A 19,816-nucleotide genomic window follows, 5' to 3' on the forward strand; every position below is an offset into this window, starting at 1 on the left:
GGTAAGGTTCAGCCCATTTTCTAACTCATTTTCCAGCCTGGGGTTGTTTCCCCTTTTTGCACTGGATTTCTGTCTTGCATGCTAGAATTTACCTGGGTTCTCACTGATGAATACACAACCAGTTAAGAATCTGAAAGGTGTACTAACCCTGTAAAAGTTGTATAGGCCCTAAGGTGTAGGCCTTTTGACATTTTCTGTGGTGTGTGATTTAGCCAGCCAATGAAATAATTTCTGGTCTCAGGATAGTTTTTCATCCTGCCACTAGATGTCAGGAACAATAAGAGTCAGCTTGTATCTATGTTACAGAAAAGAACCAGGCTCCAGAACTGTTTTCGTATCTTTCTCAGGACTGACATTTGTGTATTTGATAAATACTTACTGAGTACCTACTATGTGTCAGCCACAGTTTTAGACATTCAGGAAGAATCAGGACACAAAACAGACAGTAACGGACCTAACTAAGAAAAAGAGACTTTGTAGAGTTAGGAGGTGTGTGCAGGTAAAAGAGAGTTCAAGACCAGCCTGGGCAACCTAACAAGACACCATCCCTACAAATGTTTCTTTTTTTTTTTTTTTTTTTTTGAGACGGAGTCTCGCTCTGTCGCCCAGGTCGGACTGCGGACTGCAGTGGCACAATCTCGGCTCACTGCAAGCTCCGCCTCCCGGGTTCACGCCATTCTCCTGCCTCAGCCTCCCGAGTAGCTGGGACTACAGGCGCCCGCCACCGCGCCCGGCTAATTTTTTGTATTTTTAGTAGAGACGGGGTTTCACCTTGTTAGCCAGGATGGTCTCGATCTCCTGACCTCATGATCCACCCGCCTCGGCCTCCCAAAGTGCTGGGATTACAGGCGTGACCTACAAATGTTTCTTAAAAAACGTATCCAGGCGTGGTGGTGCATGCTTGTCGTTCCAGCTGCTCAGGAGGCTGAGTTGGGAGGATCACTTGAGTTTTAGAGGTCAAGGCTGCAATGAACCATGATCACACCATTGCACTACATCCTGGGTGACAGAGAAAGACCCTGTCTCAGCGACAAAGAAAAGAAACAAAATGAACGAAGGAAAGAAAGAAAGAAAAGAGAGAGAGAAAAAAAAGAAAGGAAAAGAGAGAAAAAGAAAGAAAAAGAGAGGAAGGAAGAAAGAGAAAGAAAGAAAGGAAAGAAAGAGAGAGAGAGAAAGAAGGAAAGCAAGCAAGCAAGCAAGCAAGCAAGCAAGCTTCTGGTAGGCAGCGGAGTAGGTAAAGGCAGAGAAGCTTCCTAAGGGGAATGCCAACAGGATTGGTGTGAGTTGGGGTCCTCTCTGAGGCACACAAGACACAATTCGATCTGCAAGACATTTACTGGAGGCAACACCTGTGAAGGGAAAAGGGGATGGAGCGAGAGAAGGTGGTGAAAGCGCTCAAGCCTCCGTGAAGTTCTGACCCTGTGAAATGGGGGAAGGCAGGAGCACTGGCAGTGGGGAAGAAGTGTCTTACTGTTCAGTGTAGATCTGACGTCCAGGCTGATGGGAGACACTGAGCCAACGTGGCCAGCTGAGGTATCTGTCTTTTAGGAATGGACCTACATTTGTCCTCTGCTGTGCCATCGGGAGTGTTCTGTGGATTTATGGTCCCCCTGGGAAGGAGACAGTGGATTGAGAAAGGAAGTAGCCGGTGCTGTTCCTCAATTGTGTTCGCCACTGTGGGATATCTGAGTAGTGCATTTCTTAGTGTCTTCGGAATTCGAGGAAGCTGGAGGCGGGAAAGTAGAAAGGAAAGGGACAGAAGAGCAACTACATCCGTTTCCTAGATAAACTATTGCTGGGTCCGTGAACAGTAACAGTGGCCATTCATAAAATGCTATTGATTGTTTTAATTATTTTATTTTATCTTATATATATTTTTAAAGACAGGGTCTCACTCTGTTGCCCAGGCTGGAGTGTAGTGATGCGATCATAGTTCACTATAACCTTGAACTCCTGTGCTCAAATGATTCTCCCTCTTCAGTCTCCTGAGTAGCTGGGACTACAGGTAGTTGCCACCACAGCCAGGTAATTTAGAAAAAACTTTTTAGAAACTAGGTCTCTCCATATTGCCCAGGCTGGTCTTGAATTCCTGGGCTGAAGAGATACTCCTGCCTCAGCCTTCCAAAGCACTGGGATTACAGGTGTGAGCCACCGTGCCTGGCCCTGTTTTAATTATTTTATTTACAACATTTTTTGTTATTGATCATGAGTAAATACAATTAGATATGAATTCTATATTTTTGAATAATAATTAAAACAATAAAATCAGGCAAATCAGCTGTTCCCTCTAACACCAAGCTCTGTTTTTATTAGGCATAACTTACAAAGTGTTTTGTTCCATCCTTTATAGTGTATGAAACTTTTACTAGATTTATAACAGCACAGATTGCAGTTTCTTGGTATATCTATTAATGTCATCTTCTTTTTCCTTTTAGAGGAAAAAAGAAGGAAAAAGAGAATATATGTATATATTTCACCAATATGATTATAGGAATCTTTATAGTGTATATTGGCTCAAATAAGAAGCAGGCATTTTTATCGCTGTAGCATAGTTCATCTTATATTTTATCCTTAGAGATGCTGCAAAAAATTTCAAACGATAGATTAACCACTGTTCTGATAAAATATGAAATTAAACAAGTTTATAAGCATTTTTCTACTTAGAAACTTCTATCAGTTTTAGAGATTTGGTTTAGCAGTTCCCAAAGTTCGGAATGCTTGAGTAAAACTTTCCTAAAAACAAAAGTACTGAACAAATGGGCTGAGAATCTCATGAGAAGAAACCTGTCAAGATTCTCAGTCCTTCCTACAGGGGCTCAGGGAGAAAATCCCAAAGGTAGGATTTTTATTGTTAAGGCATTGACACATTTTCTTCTTTTGAGAAACATATGAAAAATAAGAAGATATATAAAACATAATAAACTAAAGTAGGTCTATATTCAGTTAGAAAAAGAAAAAAATAGTGTCAAATGTTTAAGTTTCCATGTGACTGCCTTACAACTGTGGTAGAAGCAATATGCTCCTTAAATAGTTTTTCTTTCTTTGATTTGAACTTGCTACTTTCTTACAGTTTCACACTTTTTTTTGTCAATGAGTACATTCCTTATTGTTTTACTTTATATTTTTATTTTGATGGAACAAAGTATGTGTATATATTTATGGGGTACATGAAATACTCGCTACAGGCATACAATGCATAATAATGACATCATGGTAAATGAAGCATCCATCAGCTCAAGCATTTGTCATTTCTTTGTGTTACACACATTCCAGTTATACTCTTTTAGTTATTTTTAAATATATAATAAATTATTGTTGACTGTAATCACTTTGCTGTGCTATCAAATGCTAGACCTTATCCATTCTATCTAACTATATTTTTGTGCCCATTAATCATCCCCAGTCACCCCACCCTTCACTACCCTTCCTAGCCCCTGGTAACCATCCTTCTACTCTCTATCCCCATGAGTTCAATGGTTTTAACTTTTAGCTCCCACAAATGAATGAGAACATGTGAAGTTTGTCTTCCTATGCCTAGCTTATTTCACTTAACATAATGACCCTCTGATTCCATCCATGTTGTTGCAGATGACAGGTTTCATTCTTTCTTATGACTGAATAGTATTCCATTGTGTGTAAGTACCACGTTTTTTTATCCATTCATCTGTTGATGGGCACTTAGGTCTCTTCCAAATCTTGGCTATTGTGAATAGCGCTGCAGTAAATACAGGAGGGCACATATCTCTTGATCTACTGATTTCCTTTCCTCTGAGTATGTACCTAGCACTGGGATTGCTGGATCATATGGTAGTTCTATTTTTAGTTTTTTGAGGAACCTCCATACTATTCTCCATAGTAGCTCTACTAATTTACATTCCCACCAAGAGTGTACACAGATTCCCTTTTTTCCACATCCTGGCCAGCACTGCCTGTCTTTCTTAAATTTTTTTTTTAAAGAAATATGAATCTTGATGTTAATGTATAAAGCCACATGACTAATGATTACTGTTTCATTCAAGAAGAGGATAATTATGTGGTAATAATGATATAAACTGTAAATCCTTGCTAAAAAGATATGAATTAGTGAAAGCATGAAATATAGAAAACGAATATTTAAGGAACTAGAACAAGGCTAATATAGTGTCACCTGGCAGAGATTTCTCTGTCTGTCTGTCTCTCTCTCGTCTTAATGCACAAATAATTTGCTGCCAAAATTTGAACCCAAACAATAACAAACTCAGGTTATATTAGAAAATCAATACTTTAATTTTTAATACATGTTTAGTGATTAAAATATTTTATTCTTTTAAAACAAAAACAGATAAGCATTAAAATTATACTCCTATTCACACCCTCTATGTGCTGAGCAAACCCCCTTGCTGGTACAAGTATATTCTTCAGAACAAACCTGTCCCAAATATCTCAAAGGACAAATTCATGGGATTCAGAGAAATGTACTTTCACAGGCAGCAAAAAAAATCCTTAAGATATCATACAGGCATAGTTTGCACACTGAGAAACTTAGAGATGTATTCATAAATCTTACAGAAATTGAGGACTCAGAAAAAAGTCCATTAATAAAATTGAAACTCCCCGAAGATTTAATATTGTGAAATACACAGTGAGCAGTTCCACAGCTAACTCTGATAACTGCTTTTATGTTTCTGTTCAGTTGAGGAAAAATCCTTTCAGGAGTTCCTACCTAGTCACTTCACTTGAGGTCTTGGCTATCAAGGAAGAAAAACAATCTCTTCACCTTCATATAAATGTCTTCCGGCCGGGCGCGGTGGCTCACGCCTGTAATCCCAGCACTTTGGGAGGCCGAGGCGGGTGGATCATGAGGTCAGGAGATCGAGACCATCCTGGCTAACAAGGTGAAACCCCGTCTCTACTAAAAATACAAAAAATTAGCCGGGCGCGGTGGCGGGCGCCTGTAGTCCCAGCTACTCGGGAGGCTGAGGCAGGAGAATGGCGTGAACCCGGGAGGCGGAGCTTGCAGTGAGCCGAGATCGTGCCACTGCAGTCCGCAGTCCGGCCTGGGCGACAGAGCGAGACTCCGTCTCAAAAAAAAAAAAAAAATGTCTTCCAGTTTATCAGGATATGATCATTGATTCAGAAGTAAGTGAGTTCAACAAAGGTCATAGGAGACAAACTTCCCATGAAAAGATGAGAGAACAAGTTATTAGACCACCATGGAAATAAAATTAATTACTTCCTTTTGTTAAAGGTAGAATTATATGTTTTTAAATATAGATCATTATATAGAAGCCGTAGGAACTTAGAACTGGAGAGGGCTAACTTAGGAATGATTTAGGTTGAGATCTTCATTTTACAAAAGTGAAAATGTACTAAAGAAGGTACATCATGGGACTAAAGATCTAGTTGCAACAGAATTGAGAGATTAGGTCAATAATTATGGAGATGCCAATATATTATTGTTAGGGTTTCTAAAGAAGTCTACATCAAGTTCTGTTTTTCAGTCATTTAAAATGCTATTATTTTTGCATCGAATGGAATTTTGTTGGCACTTTTTATTATAAAAGTAATTCATGCAAGTAATTTTTTTAGTGTTATAATGTAAGAACATATAAAACATAAAGTAAAATTCTTGACCGCTACCAGTCCCCCATTCATTCCCCTAATTCCACTCTCCACAGTCCATCAGGAGTTTAAGTTTTTTGTTATCCTTGTAGCTATTGATATAATATTTCATTATATATTTGTTTTTCTTCTTAATTTAGGAAATTTAGAAGCTCTACATCTCCACTAAAAACTTTCAAGAATTTAGTTTATTAATTACACTTTCTGATGTATCAATTATTTTCTTGTTTTTTCTATTTATATTGTAGTTAATTATTCCATGGTATACCAATAGGTTGATCTAAAATGCAATAAACAGATTTTACAATTCGATGGTAATGTCATTTTTTGGGTTCTAAAACTAAATAGAATTGGACCCATCAAAAAATAAAGTGTAATCCCAAGTCTTTCAAATGGTACCACTGAAAAAAAGACATTAGCAAGCAACCCAGTAAACTATCTCTTCTATTATTTTCTTTCTAGCATCTTCTGGATCCTTCTCAACTATGCTTTTTCTTGCAAACCATATTGCCTCTTTTCTTGGAATTATGTATTATTTTAATTGGTGAATTTGAAGAGCAAATTTTTTTCATATAGGTTGAGTGGTATGGAAGCTTTCTGAATCAGTGCTCTTACACTTAATTTGATGGCTGAGCTATATACGACATTTGGGGTTCAACTCCTTTTTCTTTAGAATTTCAAAGTATGGCTTTGTTTCCTGACTTCCGCTGCTCCATTTCAGCAGCCTGCTGTCAGACTGCAGAGAGACTGATGATCTGCTTATCTTCTCCATGGACACAGATAGACTGCATTTCCCAGCCTTCCTTGCAGTTAGACATGGCCAGGAATCAATAGCAAGAGTGATAGCTTCCATTTAGGGGACACATTTTGTTTTGCTTTGTTAGGTTTTTTGTATAAATTCAAGAGGGTACAAGTGTAACTTTGTTGCATGGATATATTGCACAGTGGTGAAGCCAGAGCTTTCAGTGTATTCATCATCTGAATAATGGACATTGTCTCCACTATGTAATTTCTGATCATCCGCCCCTCCTACCCCTACCCTTCCTAGTCTCCACTGTCCATCATTCCACATGCTACGGCCATATGTACACATTAATGAGCTCCCACTTAGAAGTGAGAATATGCAGTCTGTCTATTTCTGAGTTGTTCCACTTAAAATAATGGCCTCCAGTTCCGTCCATGTTGCTGCAAAAGATATGATTTCATTCTTTTTTATAGCTGAATAGTATTCCATTGTGTATATATACACATTCTCTTCATCCAGTCATCCACTGATGAGCACTTAGGTTGATTCCATTTCTTTGCTGTCCTGAACTGTGCAGATGTCTTTTTGCTCTAATGATTTCTTTACGTTTGAGTAGATACCCAGTAGTGGGATTGCTGGATCATGTGGTTCTATTTCTAGTCCCTTGGGAAACCTCCACGCTGTGCTCCATAGAGGCTGTACTAATTTACATTCCACCAGCAGTGTGGAAGGAAGGACGCAGAGAAAAGGGCTAAGGCTTCTATGAGGCAACTATGGTCCCCCCACACATTCTTTCCACAGACAGCAGAACCACAGGAAGGAAGGACCTGGGTGTTGAATGCGTATGTAAGGGAAAGTCACCCACAGAAAACTGTTTTAAACTATTAAGCGCCTGAGGAAGAAACATCTAATTATAAGTCTTACCTATATCTCTTATAGCAGCTACCACTCTTTTCCTTTCCGGATTTTTCTTTTTCTTTTCTTTCTTTTCTTTTTTTTTTTTTTTTTTTGAGACGGAGTTCCACTCTTATTGCCCAGGCTGGAGTGCAATGGCACGACCTCGGCTCACCGCAACCTCTGCCTCCCGGGTTCAAGCGATTCTCCTGCCTCAGCCTCCCAAGTAGCTGGGATTACAGGCATGTGCCACCACACCCGGCTAATATTATATATATTATATATATAATATATATATAATATATGTAATATGCAATATATATTTTATTATATAATAATAAATTATATATTATATATAAATAATATATAATATATAATATATATTTTATTATTATATAATAATAAATTATGTGTAATAATATAATATATAATTAATATATATATAAATAATATATATTATATTATATTATATATTATATATATTATATATATATATTTTTTTTTTAAGTAGAGATGGGGTTTCTCCATGTTGGTCAGGCTGGTCTCAAACTCCTGACCTCAGGTGATCCACCCTTCTCGGCCTCCCAAAGTGCCGGGATTACAGGCGTGAGCCACCGCACCCGGCCCCTCTCTGGATTTTTCTTAAGGATTTTCTCTTTGTCCTTGGAGTTCTGAAATTCCACTAAGAAGTCTAGGTTTGAGAATTTTTCATGCATTCTGATCAGAACCTTTCATGGATTCTGATCAGTTCTCTCACTGTAAATACTCAAAGGGGGCATTTCTGCTATTCCTTCTCTACATACTCTTTCCCAACATTATCTCTGCTCACTCCTCCTAGAACTCCTATGAGATAGACGTTGAACTTCTTGAAACTTGTCTCCATCCCTATACACTTTGCTCTAATATCCTATGCCACTCTGGGTTTTTTGCTGTATTGATGATACACTGACTGCCTCAACTTTTTCTTCAAGATGCCCAAGACTGTTTACATTTTATTACATGCTCTATCCATTTTGGTGGGGGTGAAGGATTGTGACCATATTTTTAATACATGAGAGTTCTTTCTTTCTACTCTGCTCTTTTTTTTAATACCAATGTGATCTAATTTTTGATATATGTAGTCTCCTCTGGAAACTGTTTAAGAATTCTAACTTTTTAAAATTGTCTCTTTTGTCCCCAGAAATTTGTTTTTCTCTTTTTCTACCCTCCACCCTTTCAGTTTTCCTCCAGTCTGTCAATCCTTCAGTCCGTCCATCCTCCATTGCTCTTTCATGTTGATGAGCAAGTCCTTTGGAGTTCTTCACAGCCCCCACGTCTACTTACCCCACAGGCCAGTGCACTAAACTGTGGCCAGGGACCCTCCAGCTCCCTGGAAGTGGCTGGATCAGGCCCATGAACCAGAGGTTTCTGTGCTGGGAAGGTGAGCAGGGAACAAGTGGAAGGGTCAAGGACTCCGTCAATAGTTAAAGAAAGCCTTTCTCTGGGGATTGAGCTCTGTGGGGAAGATGTCTTTCCTTTTCTTTGTTTGTTTTCCCTCTTGGCCCAGTGTGGAAGTCCAGCTTTGTCTGGAGGTCTGCACTGCTTCTCCCTGGACTCCCAAGCCCTCTGATTAGGCCTCCTCGCCAAGCAGCCCTTTCTCCCTGCTCCCTGAGAGAAGAGTCTCTAGGCTTAACTGACAGCAAAAGAGGCAGCTTTCAGCCCTGGCAAGAGACGGAGGAATAGCGGCCAGGGTCTGGCTTCTCTGACGTGAGCCCATGGTTATCCCGAAAGCTTCTGTCCACTGCCCGCTGCGGAGAGGCACTGCTCAGCAGCAGGGAAGGGCCAGAGGCTGCCAGTGCTGAGATCGGACTCTGCCACTGACCAGGGATGTCACCTCCTGCAAGGTCCTCATCTCTCTGTACTTCAGACTTTGCCACTCTATAGTGCATAATCTCAGCATCTCCATCAAAGGACTGCAGTGAGGAGAAGTTTCTTCTCAGGCCTCTTCCCTTGGCTGCAGATGGCCACCTCCCCTCTGCATCCTCCTGTGGTCATCTCTGCCTGTGAATGTCTGTGTCCTAATCTCTTCTTCTTATAAGGACACCAGTTATGTTGGATTAACTCATTATGCCTCATTTTACCGTATTCACCTCTTCAAGGGCCCTATCTCCAAATACAGTCACATTCCGAGGTACTAGGGGCTAGAATTTCAATACAAACATTTTTGGTAGGTGGGGAAGGGGGCACGATTCAGCCCCTCACACATGCAAACCGCTGGAAAAGCCTCTGCACATAGCCAGCTTCCTGTCAGTGTGAGACAGCGCTCATGAGAAAAGCAGGCTCCCCTCTCCCATCCCTGCCTGGGCTTCCTGATCACAGGATTTCTCTGTCCTTGGCTCCCTGCAGTCATTTGCTCCACATGGAAGTCTCAGGAAGAAGCGGACTCTGGCCAAGTCCAGGTCAGGCTCCTGCTCACCAGAGGCTGCAGGAGAGGAAAATAAGCATCAGTTGTGAGAAACTGAGCCCACCCCACTGTGACCGCCCACATCAGGGTGCCCTCACCCCTCACATGGAAACAGACTCACATGAGAGACACCTCCTAACCACTCCCCCCACATCTACTCTGACTCGTTTGCAAACTGTTCTGTCCATTGCCACCAGAGCGATCTTTTAAAAATACCTAGCTCGAATTTTGTAATTTAAGAAATCCTAGGAAAAACATTCTACTTTTTCCCATAATATTCCTTGATACACTATCTCTTCTGAGAAAATTCTGGAAAGTGTATTCTTTATGGATTTAAGCAGGCAGGCAATAGGATGGGAAGGTTGATTGGATTCCATCTTAAGTTCTAAAGAAACTATGATGAGTTATGGGTTTCTTAGTGAATCTTTTATAACTATACCAAATTGGTCACTTTGAATTTTGAAATGTAAATTATCTCCAAATCGTCACAGTAACTTTCAACTCGGCATCTTTTTTCAGAAATGCACAGATGGCCAGAATAATGGTAGCCTTCAGATTTAAGAAGTGTTTGAGGCTGAGGGGAATTCCTAAGCCAGAATTTCTGAGTAGCTTTTTCCTATAGACCACCTCCAGGAAGAAGAGACTAGGTTCATCAAGAGTAGAAAAGTTTTCTTCCTTCATAGTAAACCTACCCACCTGGGCTAAGTTCAAGGTGCCCAGGACCATCCCCATGTTTGGGAGACTGCCACTATGGTTCTCTAGGAGAAGTACCTACAATTTTATTTTATTTTATTTTATTTTATTTTATTTTATTTTATTTTATTTTATTTTATTTTATTTTATTTTATTTATTTTTTGAGATGGAGCTTCGCTCTTCTTGCCCAGGCTGGAGTGCAGTGGCGCGATCTCAACTCACCGCAACCTCCCCTTCCTGGGTTCAAGCAATTCTCCTGCCTCAGCCTCCTGAGTAACTGGGATTACAGGCATGTGCCACCATGCCTGGCTAATTTTTGTATTTTTAGTAGAGACAGGGTTTCTCCATGTTGCTCAGGCTGGGCTTGAACTCCCAACCTCAGGTGACCCACCAGCCTCGGCCTCCCAACATTCTGGGATTACAAACGTGAGCCACCGTGCACAGCCAAGAAGTACCTACAAAATTAAAGGGAGCACACGGTGGTGGCTTCCCCCGACTGAGAGGCTCCTGGGCATATGCAGATCTTCTCCATCTGCCACCCCAACCCATTTGTGGAGCCCAGCAGCTCCTCTCCACATGAAACTGCAGGGAGAGAGTGGGGAGTCTCTGTGCAAAGTATTACTGTCTCGCAGATGATGGCTGTAAATAATAAGTGATGTTTTGAAAATAAGATAACCCCCATCAACAGCTCAGATAGCAGAAGTGGGGCCCCCAGCACCTGACTATGCTTAAGAAGATCACACTGCTTTTTTTCTAGGACGAAGGAGAAACGAGGGAGTCCCAGACCCCCCTGAGAGGAGAGATCGTACAGTAATGAGAGACAGAGAAAGAGAGAGAGAGGAGAGAGATGCTTCATGTTCATCACTTTGCCTAGGGTTAGCCCCATGGAGTATCAGCATAAATCTGGCTCAGAATTCATCCAGGCAGGAAATGACCCAGACTTGGTGGCCTGTCTTCATAAACTCTAGATTCCTACTGAAGTTGGTGGTGCCTGTAGGTTCAGAATTGCTCAGTCAAGAAATGAGGAGAGGAGGTTTTGCCAAGTAGGACATCAGGGGACAGAAAATGTATGTGTGGTTTGGTTGCACACAACACAGAAAACTATCCAAGGAGCCAAGTTGCCTTGTATTTTTTCTGTTTTCCTTGAAAGCCCAGGGCATACAACCAGGGACAGATCATTTTTCCCCATGCTTCTCAGCTCAAGGCAAACAGCAAAAATGGCATACATAGCAAAGAAAGGCAAGTGCAGCCCCAGGAAAATAACTGGAAAAACAAGGAGCTATCAGTGAGGGGAAAAAAAACAGTTCGAATGGGTGCAGTGAGTCACGCCTGTAATCCCAGCACTTTGGGAGGCCGAGGCTGGTGGATCGCTTGAGCTCAGGAGTTTGAGACCAGCCCGGCCAACATGGTGAAGCCCCATCTCTGTGAAAAATACAGAAATTACTCTGGTGTGGTGGTGCACGCCTGTAATCCCAGCTACTCGGGAGGCTGAGGCAGAAGAATCACTTGAACCTGGGAGGCGGAGCTTGCAGTGAGCCGAGATAGTGCCACTGCCCTCCAGCCTGGGCGACAGAGAGAGACTCCATCTCAAAAACAAAACAAAACAAAACAAAACAAACACCCACAGTTTGTTCTTCAAATATCCCGGTTTTCCTACTATCTTGCATTTAGCAGTCTTTTGTAAGACATACCATAGAAGACCAAAGAAGACCAAACTTTTCCCCCTTTCAAACTCTCAAAATACCATTGCATTTATTAAAAATTTAACAAAACAATTCATTGGCTCCTCAGTAGAACCTGTGGAAAAATACTATACCTGTTATTCTGTGCGGTGAACTTCTTCCTCCAGGTTTCCCTCTTTCAAAGTTCCGCTTTACTTTTTTTTTTTTTTTTTAATTTGCGACGGAGTCTCCCTCTATTGCCCAGGCTGGAGTGCAGTGGTGCCATCTCGGCTCACTGCAACCTCCGCCTCCTGGAGTCAAGAGATTCTCCTGCCTCAGCCTCCTGAGTAGCTGGGATTACAGGCGCCCACCGCCATGCCCAGCTAATTTTTGTATTTTTAGTAGAGATTGAGTTTCGCCATGTTACCCAGGCTGGTCTTGAATTCCCAACCTCAGGCGATCTGCCTGCCTCGGCCTCCCAAAGTGCTGGGATTACAGGCATGAGACACTGTGCCTGGCCCCGCCTTACATTTACTTCTGTCAAGCAGTTAATTCTCAATGAGCACAAGCTCATATTGTAAGCACATATGTTTGCTTTCGGGATAAAGTTGTTAATGCCTAAATGTATTCATTGTTCCTGGTTTCACCAGCTCATGATGGCAGGTACTATAATGTTTTCCAAGTCCTGGTGACTGTTTTGCTTTGCATAGGGCACGGGCCTGTCTCTCACATTCACAGCTGTTGTGCATGCTTTGCATTGAGAAAAAGAAAAAGGAGCAGGGAGAGAAAAAAAAAATCATTTGTGATGGGTGTGTGAACAAGTGCTAGCTCATCCTCTCCCACTCTGTCTCTGGAATGAATCTGAATTGCCTGATACTGATGTACCTTCCTAAAATGAACCAGAGGCCCAGGCAGGTGCAGTTGGGCTGAGTTAATCAAGACGAATTTGCTATGACTTTAAACCAAACAAACAGTCTCCCACGGTCTGGGAAGTAGTGGTGGCGGGCGCCTGTAATCCCAGCTACTCGGGAGGCTGGGGCAGGAGAATCGCTTGAAGCTGGGAGGCGGAGGTTGCAGGGAGCCGAGATAGTGCCACTGCACTCCAGCCTGGGCAACAGAGTGAGACTCCCATCTCAAAAAACAAAGCAAAACAAATCAAAAAAAAAAAAAAAAAGAAAGAAAGAAAAGAAAAGAAAACTCCTTTGCGGTTAGTGAGAAAGAAACTGAGAATAGCAGCCCAGGGTCATGGAGCCGCCAGGCTGCACAAGGACTGCCCCCTACTGGTAGCCAAGGTGCTCCATCTGAAAAGGAAAGCGGCCATCTTGTTAGTGAGGTCATTGGATGTAAGGTAGGAAGGATGTTGTTCAGTCACCTTTGAAGAAATTTATGTGGTCTGAGCAAAAACTACTTATTCTAGACATGCTTATTTCTCAAGAGATATGAACTACATTATTATGCATGTAGCATTACTGCATATATATAAATGGACCTACCCACACACATGTGCATGCACACACACACATCTTTGGGCAGATATTCAAGAAATAGTCCCTGGGCAGTGGGACTAGGGGAAGAGGTAGAAAATATTTATTTTTTGTTTTATACCCTTCTGTAGTATTTTTTTTTTTTTTTACTTTGGGCAGGTATCAACTTTGTAATTAATAAAAGGAAAGCAGTAATAGCCACGAGATTTCCCTTCTAATATCCATATACTTTAAAACGATCTGTGTGATCAGAGTGGTATAATATCAGAATATTCTAGGCAAAGTTCCACCAGGCCATATTACAAACCATGTTTTTGAGGGAGCTGGCTATGATTTGTGTGGGCAACATGGATGTTTTGCTAATTGCTTTTCCACATCATCTCTGCTAGGCAGTAAAATATAGATAGGGTGACCAACTTTCCATTTTATACCTCTCATCCGGATACTTTTCATGCTCAAAAATGTCCTGGACAATAAATTGTATATCCACCCTAATTATAGGCAGCTATATGGATTGTTCATTTAAACCGCCCTTGAAAATAACACTTTAGGTTAAAAAACGTGGGGGCGTGCCACCTCCTAGTCACTGTGATAAGTACTTCATATAGATTATTTAACTTAATCTCATAATGGCTTTTTGAGGTTGGTGAAATTATACTAATAACAAATAAATTGAGATTTGATAACTTGCCCATGATTTTGACTGTGTTACCTGCTGATTTCAGAAGTTTGGTCATACTATGTTATTAACTGTGTCTGTCCTTTCGAAACGTTCAGACACACACAAACTCCTAATGTCTATGTAATTCTAATAATATCCTCCTACCTCTAAGATAGACTTAATACAGATTTTAGAATCAAATTTTGTTCTTGTTTTCAACTCAAAATCCATTTCCTCCAGGACACCTTCCTTGTCTTCTTAGCTAGATCAATTTCTCTTGTTACATACTCTCATAGCCCCTTTCAAAGCAGTTATCCATGTATAAAGATTTAGTTGATTAAGATCTGTATTCCCAATCTTCTAAGCTTCTTGCAGGCAGTGAGCACTCCTGTTTGCCTTTCAATATTTCTCCAGCACCAAGCATATTACATGAGTAGCACTGACATATTCATAGTCACTCAATGAGTATTTGTTGGAAGAATTAAAAGCAATATCTTGCCTGAAAGCCAGAAGAGGGGTTCTAGTATCTCACATGTAAACCAAAGGATCCAGCTATAAAAGAGGTGGGGAAAGAAGAGAGTGGCCCTTCTTTCCCTCAGAGGCTCAAATTCTATGCTAACAAACAGAATACCTCAGGTTTTCGGAAACGGGTATAAACTGCTGTGTATTGAGATCTAACTTCTGAGGAAGTCTCAGTGACCTAATTTCATTTAGTCCTCTTACCTAACTGTCCAGAGTGGCCTCCACCAAGCTTCTTCTGTATTCCTTAATCCTACTACCAACATTCCACCTTGATGGTAATGCTTCAGCTATATCATAACTTTTTAATATTTTCCTAAGTGTGTGGTTTAGGAATGACATAAACTAAACACCTTCATTGGTTAGAATTTTCTTCTCCTTTAAAATATCCAACTAAAATGTTTTAAGTTAATGCAGAAAACTTGACATTTCTTCTACGGTCCTACCCCTAAGTTAAAGAACTCTCAATAGGTGCTAGGCTACCCCAGGACTCAAACTTTCATCCAAATTTCTGTTCCTCTAACAATTTTCATCCTATAGGTTTTGAAATAAAAGTTTGCCGAAGTTCTTTTTAAAATTACAATTGCACCTCATTGTTTCATTAGTAACAATAGCAACATGCACGAACATGGGTGCCTAATGAACATTTTTCCTTTGGACACAGCTAGCTATATATTTAGCAGCAGAAAGCAAAGGCATAAATAATAGGTCGCTTTTGGCACTGTTATTAGATTTGATTAATCTGTCGGGATGCGGTAAAGCTAAGGAGGATGAATGTCCATATAGTTGAATTGAGGAAGCGATGCAACATAAACGTATCCAGTGGCAAAAAAAAAAAAAAAAATCCTCCTTTTTTCAATCATCCAATTACTTACCCAAACAAAGATTTCCTGTACATATGATGCGATCACTAACTGCCTTTGTGACTTTTCCTTGTAGGTAAGAAAAGTGCAGAACTTGGCAACTAAACATGCATATTTCAACTAAAAAAAAAATTACTTTAGGAGCCATGGAGCACCTTGTACTTGATTCACAGATGGACCGATTTTTTAAAAATCATTATAATTTACAGTTCTCAACAATATGAGACCACATTAAGTATGCAGAGAAAACAAATGCAGCCTCTGAATTTAATCCTAGTCTGCGTTATCTCTTACGTGTTGTTCTTATTTGTATATCGCAGCCTGAAGCTTTTGACATTGTACATTCATCGGTCAGGAAAAATGTTTGGAGGAAAGGGATCAGAAAGACCAACAAGAAAATTCACTGAACTACTGAGACTTGTAGGTTGATTTAAGTAGTGAGAAAACTGTATTTTAAATGTGATGATATACTAAAAAATGAGACTATTTAGCATTGTACTTTCCCTCCGGCAAGGCAAAAGGGCACTTGGTCTCGTGTTTTCATTTCTTTTCTTTTTAAAATTATTATTTAAGCAGGACAAAAATAATGTAATGCAGAAAAAATGTCATTAACTCTAGAAAACTAAATAGCAAATGAGGCCATTTCAATCACATGCCTAAGATTCTTTTAATCAAGCATTTGTTGTCAGCAGGACCATATATTTGGCCTCTATAATCGACTCTCAACCAAAAAGTGAAAGAAACCTTTATTTCACTTCTTTATATATTCTGCTTCCTCCATATACTTTTCTTCCTATTAATTTAAACAGGAGGGTCCCATAGCTTGGATTTCTTTCAGTGAGGTTTTCTATGTCCAGTTTTGTCACTGCTTTGGCTGAAATCCACAGAGGCTAGGGGACCTGCATCAGGTAGCCTAGAGCGTTGGAGGCTCAGTAATAATTCTAATTCAAGAAAACCGTGGCTTCCAGCTTTTGCTTTAATCATTAGAATGTAGGGTTCAGAGGTAGAACTTACCAAAAAAACTTTAAAGTAATTATTTCTTTGCATTTAACTAGGTGGGATGGAGGGAAGGGGAAGACTTGAACTCACTTCCTACCCCACTCTGGCCAAAGTTTCCATCTGATATCTCAGCCTTGAAGATGAATGGATGTTTGAAAGATTTCCCTGACAGGCAGATGTCTATGGTATGTGTCGGTTCTCACGCAGCTAATGATCACGAAATATAGTGGAACATCCTTAGCATTTGAAGGAACGTCTTCAGAGACCTGAGGAAATCCCCAGACCTGAATTCCACAGGTTCTGATCCTGGTAGCTTCCTTCTCTGTAAAATAGGAATAATAAGAACACGTACTTCACATAACTGTTATGAGGACTCAACTAGACAATGAGTCCAAGGAAAGCAGAGGAGCTATGGGAAGAGACGACGACCAGGCAATCTGCGAAAATGGGGGTCTCTCTAAAACTGTCTCCATTCAAATCCCAGTTCAAGTGGTGGAGTTCCCTTAAAAACAAAACCAAAGGGCCAGGTGCGGTGGCTCACACCTGTAATCCCAGCACTTTGGGAGGCTGAGGCGGGTGGATCACGAGGTCGGGAGTTCAAGACCAGCCTGGCCAACACGATGAAACCCTGTCTCTAGCAAAAACACAGAAATTAGCCAGGCGTGGTGGCACACTCTTGTGGTCCTAGCTACTCGGGAGGCCAAGGCAGGAGAATCTCCTGAACCTGGGAGGCAGAGGTTGCGGTGAGCTGAGATCGCACCACTGCACTCCAGCCTGGGCAACAGATTGAGACTCTGTCTCAAAAACAAAACAAAACAAACAAACAAACAAACAAACAAAAACAAAAGAAGCAGATCATTATTTTTTTCTTAAAAGAAATTTCTTAACAAAGAATATTATGTTAGGCTGTTATTGGTCAATAACACGTTAATCAGCTCAACCCAAGTACACTTTTCTTTATTCTTCTTATCTGCACTCACTAAAATAAGTGAAAACTACCTTCTCCACCATTTCTACTGTATTTGGTCAGTCTTCCTCCTGTTTAACCAACAAACCATACTTTTTTACCTAATAAAATATGTCTAGGCCAATGTATTTAACATTAAATTCTCTTTTTATTTCTGAAGTCTTTCTATACTCCCGCACTCTCTCCTTATTCCTAGAGCTGAGGAAAAACAGACCCTTCCCAATTTAACAAATTCAGCCATCATTCATTCAGTGCCAGGCATGATGCTCAGGGCTGGGCACCTTTTAGCCATTGAATCAATCATCTCCCATTCACCTTGCCAAGGCCTCTGTCTTCATGGGCTCTGTACCTGCTGAAGCCACTCCTATCCTGGAAGAAGACCCGCACTATCCTCTCTTTCTCTTTGGTGCCAAGTCCAGAAAATGAAGCCTCCATTTGCCGTCTCTTATCTTTCATCAGTGAGTACAACTAATACTTCATAGCACTACCTTAGCGCCTGATATTTCAGCCTAAAACCCACGTATGATGTTGGTACAATCCCCGTTTTACAGATGAAGAAACCAGGGCAAAGAAGTTGAGTGATGTGGCCAAGCATGACCACCAGTAACGGAAGAAATAAGGATTCAGTGGGCCATTTGGGACCCCACTGTTAACCAGAAGCTCTACTGCCCTCAAATACTAAGTTGAATGTTGAGGATTTCTTCAATCTGGGCACCTCGCTTTGTTTCCACCTTGTTTCAATTACATCAGTAACTTCAACATAGCTTCCTAATCTGAGAGTGAGGAGAGAGTGATCCTAAATAGCATTCATTCTTCTAACACCTACCTTCATCTTTGTTATATTATGAGTACTATTTGAACCCTTGCATTCTGGGGAAGTTGGAAGGACTCACTCTGGGACCTGCAGCCATGACTTTCAGTGACAGGGGTAAGGAGCAGTTCTTAGCCGTCCTGAGATGGAAAGAAGGGGTGGGGACGTTGATTGTGGGGGGCAGGAAAGCAAACTGCAGGGTGGAAGTGAGCCGCCATCTGCACCTGGTCACGGGAAAGCAGGGAGCATCCACTCAGGCAGGGGCATGCGCTTTTTAGAGGAGCATGCCAGACATGCCAAGTTGCCCAGTGGCCCACTCTTTTGAAGCCAGCAGGAACAGGGGAGCGGCCTCTGCTCGCAGTCCCGCAAGAATGCCCTGCGGTGTACTGTGAACAGAACACACCAGGAAGGCAATCCTTCTCCGCACATCAAACATCTGAAGTTCACATTCCCTAGGAAGGGATACTCTTTAAGCTGTATTTCCTAACATTTAATTATCTCTGAATCCTTTTGAAAGGATTCGTTGACACCTAAAAGAACCTTGAGAATAAAAACTTACACTAGTCTTGGCTACTCAGGAGACATCTCTGGCTGGAGAAAAGATGACACCAGAGAGCAGGGGAAAAAAGTGAGCTTTGTTCAGAATATTGTCATTATCACCCCGAATCTAATGTCGAGGAAGGTGGTCAACCACTGTCATAGGGAAGGATAGAGATTCCAATTGGGATCTGTAGTACACGTAGTTCAGGAATGAAAGCCCTAGAGCCTTAACCAAAACTGTGACTATGAAGCTGCTTTGAGAAATAACTATGGGATATTAATAGCTAGATTTAACAGTTTGTTGAATTTTGTGTTGTAAATAGAGAAGAGAGGGAGTAAAAGAAACGTAGAAGAAAAAGTAGATCATGGAACTACAAATACAAGGAAACTGCATTCCTTCAGAAGCAAAATTAGCCTATTTTGATTAGTTTAATTTCCAAATGTCTGTAGGGTATTATTCAGTAGACCATATCCTGTGGAAAGAATTATAGACTTATAAAGAGGGTGAGAGGTCAGGGATGGAGATGTCAACCCCATAGAGAGGATAATTGAATCATGTGTCTCATTGAAAAATTGTTTAGGTCTCCAGTTCTAGCGGCTATGAGAGTTAAAATTATCCTCCTTATTCCACTCAGTGTATTTCATTATTTAGACATCATATATTAGACATAAGGAAGAGCGCCTTGAGTGTAAGAGTGATTAAACACTGAAACAGACTCTACCAAAGGAGCTTGTGAAATTACCGACTCTAGAACATTTTAAAAATAGAGGCAACCATCTGTCTTAAATGATTTTGGTGGTAATTTGTCTTGGAAAAGGAGACTGGACAAAATAAATTTGATCAGGGAATTTTAGGTAAATAATTTTCTGAACATTTTTCTAATCTGGTGGCCTCATGTAAACACATACGTTTTTATTTTTATCATGAACTGTT

The 19,816-nt window shown here is 40.8% G+C and overlaps 1 protein-coding gene across 6 annotated transcripts in view, besides 1 other annotated feature; it reads left to right on the forward strand.

Moving 5' to 3' along the window:
- TENM3 (teneurin transmembrane protein 3) overlaps window positions 1-19,816 on the forward strand; it is a 1,355,412-nt gene that overhangs the window by 121,862 nt on the left and 1,213,734 nt on the right. The window lies entirely within an intron of this gene.
- Window positions 18,568-18,722: a silencer, noted in NCBI's record as "fragment chr4:182509195-182509349 (GRCh37/hg19 assembly coordinates)". NCBI's record gives its function as "represses an EF-1alpha promoter that drives an FKBP-Casp9 reporter gene in an ReSE screen in K562 erythroleukemia cells {active_cell/tissue: K562}" and the evidence as "EXISTENCE:reporter gene assay evidence [ECO:0000049][PMID:32094911]".

This window comes from Homo sapiens, chromosome 4 (genome assembly GCF_000001405.40).
Source record: "Homo sapiens chromosome 4, GRCh38.p14 Primary Assembly".
Lineage (NCBI taxonomy): Eukaryota > Metazoa > Chordata > Mammalia > Primates > Hominidae > Homo > Homo sapiens.